Genomic DNA, 8,085 nt, shown 5'->3' on the forward strand with positions numbered 1-8,085 from the left:
GGTCAGCCTGGGAAAGAGGAAGAACCTGTTTCAAAAATAATAATAATAATAATAATTTCCCAGGAACAAAAGGGGCCATAGTTTAACACTAAAGCTATATCACTTATGACCTGTCTCTTCAATGTTCTTATCTGTATTTAATTATTGGGCATTGTATATTCTTTCAGCAAATATTAGAGTAACACTCTAAGAACATTTCTTCCTTTTGCCTGAGGGGGCAGAGCCTTAGGTAAAGCAATGAGATTAGGAATGGAAACTAAGGAGAGTCAAGATTTTAATTGTATGCCCCAGTCTAGTTGCCCCCACTGATGCCCATAATTTATAAGAAGTTTTCAAAGCTGTACCCAGGAAATGATATTCAGAAAAGTCTTCATGTTTCCTCCGCTTCTTGCAGGATGCCATGAATTATTTAATCTTCTAGAATTCCTTAAGCTTTTTGCAAAAAAAGTTTTCCCTCTACTTTGACAGTCATATCACTTTTTTTTCTTCCGGTGTCTTCATGAAACTCTTGATGTGAAAACCTCGCCTTCCTAGACAACTGCTATTTGAAATGAAAAGCTGCATGGGTCTTGTCAGCCTCCATCTTACACTATTTAATTTTCACTGTGGAGTTCACAAAATGGCCATTTCTATAATGCATTTCATGTTTCCGGATAGAAGATTGCTAGCACAGTAAATATCCATCTAAGCCTCTTTCTCATCAACAAAACATGTCGTTTGTAGTACCCACACATCAACAGAACTTCCTCAAGCCTGCCACTATTGCTTTTTCATAATTATATTTTATAATCCTCCTTTACACACGAGAGCTCAATTCACTTCCTCCTACAATGCATTAGCATCCTCTTCAAATCCATTAGTGGTATCACAAGCTCCACAGCATCATTCCCTCTTCAAAATATTTTATTATTAAGTTACTGTACTGCGAGCTGGGAGTCTATGAATATTTAAGCAAGGCATCGTATGTTTATGTACACTCTGCCAAGACAAAAAAAAAAGCCTATTCACCCTAATATTTTGGCAGTGGATTAAAGCTGCTATGTACCTTAAGAAAAATGTTTGCTGAAGTTGCAAATGATTGTTAAAAATAAGTATATAATTTATTTTTAGAAATTCTTGATGATTTAATCCTTACCTGTTCTTCAGTCTGCAAATGAAGTGTCACTGCCAGCTAGCAGCAGGGATAGGAACAGGCGAACTGACTCTAGTATTCCAAGACACGTGGACAGTCCTTAGCACTGAAAACTCATTTCAGTTTTGCTGGCTCTACTTCACTTTTTAGCATTTGAAACTCATCAGCTCTACGTATTGTTGGTTATGGTAACATAACCAACATTATTGTTTATAATTCTCTAAGCTATACTACTCTCTTGAGTTAATTTGGTACATAGATAGCCACTAATATCCATTAACTTCATCCGGAATAATTATATGATTTGATGCACTGCATAGTTGAGATGCAAAGACACAAAAAGGAGAAAGAGACTGCAGAAGTAACACCAATGTCCATCAATAGATGAACAAAAATGAATAAACAAATATGGCATAGCCATACCCTGGAATATTTTTTGGCAATAAAAATAAACGAAGTACTGATAGATGCTACAACATGGATGAAACTTGAAAACATTATGCTAAGGAAAAGAAGCCAGTCACATACACAGACACAGACACAGACACACACACACACACACACACACACACACACACAACATGAATTATATAATGAATTCATAGGAAATGTCCAGAATAGGAAAATCTATTAGTGGTTATTTAGGACTATGGGTCTCAGAGTGGGGGATAAGAGACAATGGGGTGATAGCTAAAGGGTAGAGCGTTTCTCTTTGCGATGCTGAAAACATTCTAAAATTGACTGTGGGGATGGTTGCACATATCTGTTAACTATACTAAAAACCATAGAATTGTCCAGTTTACATGAGTAAATTATATCATGCATAAATTATATCTCAATAAGTTTTTTTTTAGAAAATGAATTTAGTAATCAATTTGATTTTCTGAACAAAAAAGGCATGAATTAATTCATTAGTTACACCATCTTGGACCCTTGCCATCAGGTTCTCAAGGTGTGTGTGGAAAGGGAGGTGGGATGGGAAGAGTATTGATGTATGAGTTGACAAGGAAGGGAGGACCTAGAGCAGAAGCACTGTGCAGTTTATCAAACTACATGCACCTCTTCTCCCTACAGATAGAGTGCAGTTCCCCACCCCTATGTCAGGAACTACTGCTCCATGAGGAAGCTATTGATGGTGGTGGGTCATCTATCTAAAAGAGCGGTTGAAAATGTCTGTTCTACTGATGGTATCAATAAGGTGCTAACAACAATAAACAAAAGCAGTGATCAACATTAGAGATTTATTTAAGGAAATGTAGCTACCATGCTATCATTTAACAAAGATAATTGGCAACCTGTTTCTCTTTAGCAATGTTTGACCTTATTCCATACAGATTAATGCTCACAATAAGGCAGCGGGGGGTAGGGGGCATTTTTTTAAGCCAAATCAAGCTGGCAATATTTATGTCAAGCCTGATCCGCAGTAAAAGTTTCCGAAGGAAACATGATGTGGAGAGATGAAATCATTGTGTAAAATAAATAAATGCTAACTTTATGAAGCCCTGTGTATTAGGTTTCCTTCCCTGTTTGATTTTTTCGTTTGATGTTGAGAGTTTTCTTGAAACCATTCTTCCTTTGTTCCTTTGACACTGTGTCAGCTACTGCTGCCTCTTTTCAAATGATACCTAACTCTTGCATAGTATTTATTATGTGTCAATCACTGTTCTAAGGGTCTTATTTACCCCATGTAATCCTCTCAACAACTCTGTGATATGGTACTATTAACTCTATCTTTAAACATGAGGAAATTCAAGGGCAGAAGTTTAAGTAACCTTCCATTTATACTCTTTCTGCCCCGTCTTGAAGTGGCTTCTGACTCCTTCATGGAACATGGGCCAGGGGAAATAGAAGTTTTCATTCAACTGATAATTGTTGTGAGTTGGCATCCTACACTGAAAGTCAGGAGGGTGGTGAGAAGTATCTCTCTCAGGGGTCATTTTGTGGGTTCTTGGAGACTCCCATCACTGGGAGAACTTTCACCTGCAGTTCCCTTGAGGCTGGCAATGCAATGATCCTCGGTTACTACTGCCTCTGCTCCTGCACTCAAGGAATTAGACAGATTGGGTCTGTTTGGTGAAGTCTGTTTCCTTCTTCAAAGATGATCTGACCTTAGAATCTGAGATCATCTCAAGCTGATGTTCTTTCTCTTACTTGTCCCAAATTTAATGCACAGGAAACATTCATTTGTCTCAGCAGCACCTGCTAATTCAGGCTATATAACACTGCAGTCACTTCTTCCTCAACTTTTCCAATGGAAGTCAGCCAGTGGATCCCATGCCTGTTACACATCTTAGGTAGGAGTTGGATTGTCCCCTGGGTCTTCTCACTTTGAGGAACATGCATCAATCCTCAGGATTATCTCAACGAGTCCTTTCTTAGTAAGTTGAGGAACTGAACTCAATTAATATCTCTTATTGTGATGAGGTGGGAAAGAAGAACTCACAGAACCCATGCAGGTCTCCCTAAAAATTCTCTCTCTCTACATGTTCCCCTTTCTGGACCCTTTTATATCCTTTATTTTTAGGGAGGAAGTTAAACGTTTTCTATATGGTTTTTGCCACCCACTTTTAAACTCTTAGTTTAGCACCACTTCATTTTGGAGACATACAATGGTGTCTGAAACATCTATTTTATGTATATGTTTATATATAACATAAAGGTATCTTCATGTTTATTTCTGTTTCCTCTATAGAACTATTTGTTCACTGATGGCGTGAACCAGGTCTATTGTATTCACCATACTAGGTGAATACCTACATAATAGGCATTCGTACAATATTTGTGCAGTGAATGAAAGCATAAACATGTATTTTTTACTTACTCATACAAATATAGAGAGATAGCTCAGAAAGACACACAACCCAGCTCTAACTATGAAGCCATATGGTCCCAAAAGCAATTATCATTTTTTTCTACCAAAAAAATTGTTTTTTACATTTTGAGCCTTTTCTGTAAATCCATCAGTTAAGTAACAAACATTATTTTCAGAGTTCTACACAGTTCTGCCAAAATGTCAATCACGCCGTGACACAAACAGGCACTTTTTAAAATAAAGCAATTTACAATACAATTGTATACTAAGTGCCATGAATTCTCAGCTGTACAAAAATATCTGGCCTCTCTGCTAATGAAATGAAGGAAAATATAATTGACAGTTATCTTATGAGATTTCATTGTAATGCACATGATGCTATAATAAATCTGGTTACTGGAAATTCTGTGGTACACTGTTTAAAGGATATTAATTGATTGCCTTGGAGTCAGCTTATTTTGAAATTCCTGTTGGTGATCTTTGATACAAATGTACTATACATATGAAGTAGGTTATAACAGGTCTTTTCTAAGCCCAATGCATATGATCAGTGAAATAGGAGTTTTATAAAAACCTCAGTTACCATCTATGGCCAATTTATAACAGATGTGGCAATAAAAATTGCAATGTGAAACTAATAAAAAGATTCTCCATATTAGCCTTTCCATGGTACCTTTTCTGGATTAGTAATTCTAGAGCAAATAAAGGAAAACTAACTCTCTGCAAAACAAAACCACTCAAAAATTTAAAAAATGAAATAAAATAAATTTTTAATATGAAATAATTTGACAATTGTGTCATGAGTGAGAACTTAACTTTTAAAATGTAGGGGCTTTGGGCTGGGTATGGTGCCTCACGCCTGTAATTCCAGTATTTTGGGAGGCCGAGGCGGGCAGATCACGAGGTCAGGAGATCGAGACCATCCTGGCTAACACGGTGAAACCCTGCCTCTACTAAAAATACAAAAACTTAGCCAGGCTTGGTGGCACATGCCTGTAGTCCCAGCTACTCAGGAGGCTGAGGCAGGAGAATCGCTTCAACCTGGGGGGCAGAGGTTGCAGTGAGCCGAGATCGCATCACTGCACTCCAGCCTGGGTGACAGAGCGAGACTCCGTTAAAGAAAGAAAGAAAGAAAGAAAGAAAGAAAGAAAGAAAGAAAGAAAGAAAGAAAGAAAGAAAGAAAGAAAGAAAGAAAGAAAGAAAGAAAGAAAGAAAGAAAGAAAGAAAGAAAGAAAGAAAGAAAGGAAGGAAGGAAGGAAGGAAGGAAGGAAGGAAGGAAGGAAGGAAGGAAGGGAAGGAGGGAGGGAGGAAGGAAGGAAGGAAGGAAGGAAGGAAGGAAGGAAGGAAGGGAAGGAAAATGTAGGGGCATTGTTGGTTTGATTTTAAGAAAACAAATGTGAGGGTATTGTTTTTTCCACTGTTGGTGTTTTTACAGCAACACCCTAACAAGATTCATTAACATAAAAGTTGGGTGGAGGTTTACAGCATGCTTCAGAGAGAATCTTCAAAATTTGTGAACGTCAAGTTAGCAAAGTGAGTTGTGAACATTGCAATCTAAAGTACTCCAGAATACCTATACTTAAGGTAAAAATTTCATTCAAACATACAAACTTAATTTAAGTAACATATAGAAAAATATGTAGATGTTTTAATAAACTTATTTTTATTATTCCAGTCATGTCTTTGATAGAGTGTAGACATAATTTGGGTTCTGAAACCAGGCATTGGCAGATGCACAGAGCAGGGGCTGAAAAGAAACAAGGAAGGAGCATCTAGATGTAACATGATGAGGAAGAGCAACTGGGCAGAGCCTACCAGAGGTCGCTACAAAAGGATGGAATGCTCGAATGGTCTTCAAGGTTCCATCCTTGCTGCTCACCTTCCTCACTTCATATCCTTTCCTGGTTCAATGCATCCACTCCCTGGAGTAGCAGAGACTGAGAGTGGCCTCCAAATATTCACTGTTCTCCCATATTTGGTTGTACACCAGTCTGTAATTCTTAATTAAAATTAGCTAAAAAATTATCTTAGCTAATTTTAATTAAAATTAGCTAAAAGATATTGCACTTTTCAAGTGTATGGGTGAGCTTAATAATGTTTAACCATGGCTTTATTAAGTGAATGCTTGGGTCTTCAACATTAAATTCAACTTACTTCACATTAATGTTTGCAAATACATTATCATCAATTCTTACATAATTCACATCAACCAACTTGAAGTGCAGAAGGCTTGCACTCAAATAACTCTTCTGAGGTGACAAAGAAGCCCAAGACTTGAGTCCAAGTCTCTAACCAACAATGACTATATCAACACTGGTGAACTCATATGAAGGAACTTCAAGGTTGGGAGGTGCAGGCCCCTTCCTAATCCTGCCAAAAGCATCATAGTGTGACCCATGGCAAGGGCAGTAATAATTACCAGAATCTCCTGCAAATGCAGTGAGTACATAACCAAGGCGAATGCAAACACTTATCAGGATAACCTACTTAAAGTTATGGGGTACATGTCCAGAACGTGCAGGTTTGTTACATAGGTATACATGTGCCATGGTGGTTTGCTGCATCCATCAACCCGTCATCTACATTAGGTATTTCACCTAATGCTATCCCTCCCTTAGACCCCCACTCCCTGACAGCCCCAGTGTGTGATGTTCCCCTCTCTGTGTCCATGCGTTCTCATTGTTCAACTCCCACTTATGAGTGAGAACATGTGGTGTTTGGTTTTCTGTTCTTGTGTTAATGATGGTTTCCAGCTTCATTCATGTCCCTGTAAAGGACATGAACTCATCCTTTTTTATGGCTGCATAGTATTCCATGGTGTACATATGCCACATTTTCTTTATCCAGTCATCATTGATGGTGATAGACTGCATAAAGAAAATGGGGTTTCTTTACTTGTTCTAAATCATGCTGTGGATCCCTCAAATGGGACCTTTCAACTGCAGCTTCCTAGTTAGTTTCCTTTTTGGTTCTGTGGCCCACAAACAGGAGTTTGCCTCTATCTTTGAAAGCCATATTCTTGCCTTCTGGAATATCGGATAACTTGAATTTGATTTTGACATGGCCAACACATCAGCAGAAGCCCTCACGCTGGGAACAAACTAGGGGAAGACATTGTTGGCACCATATGCGATAGTAGCTGTTGCAGTTGACAAATAAGAGTAGCCTTTTCTAGCCTTGCTGCTTTTTTTTGAAGACTTTGTACTATCTAAAACTTCAGTGCAATGCTACCCAGAAAAGGCAAGCACTTTGATGTCCATAAGGGAACAATTAACAGAAGCAGGGACATTACGGCCCATGTCCTGGCCACCCAGCGGCTCCTGGCACAGGAAGGGCCGCTTCATGTCCAGCACAGGCAGCTCCGGGGCAGCAGGCACCGCGGCCCACACCAGGGGCCACAGTGCACCCGCCACTTCATGGCACGTGGCCAACAGGATGGGCGCTAATCTACATTTATAACAGAACTCCAACTAGCTGGGCATATATCCATCCAGTTAAATTACTACATTACCCAGAATCCCATGACTTGACTATGTTCTAGTCAATGAGAAATAAACAGAAGTGTGGTGCTTCCAAGGAGTTTCTTTTGAAAGGAAGATCACAGCCCTCTTTTCTTCTCCAAATTGCAACCCATAACAATATGCAAACATATGAATGTTAGAACTCTGGCAGCAGCTTTTGCCCTAGGTAGCTGAGAAGTGAGCTGGAAAGAGATAAAATTGTTGTAGAGTTATGATTCTCTCTCTGAATTATATATCTCTAAAATTCTTTTAGGTGAGATAGAAATGCATTTTTGTCTTCATTAAGTCACTGTTACATGCAGTACATGTAGTAAAATCGAATCTTAACTCATAAGTGTGGCTTTAGGACACAACTCCAAAATCAATGCTCCAAACCCTGCTTTCTTCCCAAAGATTATGACCTAAATATCCAGCCACCTTCTGGATAGCTTTATCTGAATATATCAACACTCCCCCAACACACACACACACACACACACACACAAACTTAGCAAGAATAAAACACAACTCATATTTCCTCCAAAATATGCTCTTTATGCTGTATTTCCTAGCTCAATTTGAAGGAAGATTCAACCATTTATTTGCTGAGTGACATATCAGGGGAATCTTTTTGCTTCCCA

At 38.6% G+C, this 8,085-nt stretch overlaps 1 pseudogene; it reads right to left on the minus strand.

Moving 5' to 3' along the window:
• Nucleotides 1-6,035: 6,035 nt before the first annotated feature.
• UQCRFS1P3 (ubiquinol-cytochrome c reductase, Rieske iron-sulfur polypeptide 1 pseudogene 3) lies at nucleotides 6,036-7,390 on the minus strand (annotated as a pseudogene).

This window comes from Homo sapiens, chromosome 6 (assembly GCF_000001405.40).
Source record: "Homo sapiens chromosome 6, GRCh38.p14 Primary Assembly".
In the NCBI taxonomy this organism is placed as follows: Eukaryota; Metazoa; Chordata; class Mammalia; order Primates; family Hominidae; genus Homo; species Homo sapiens.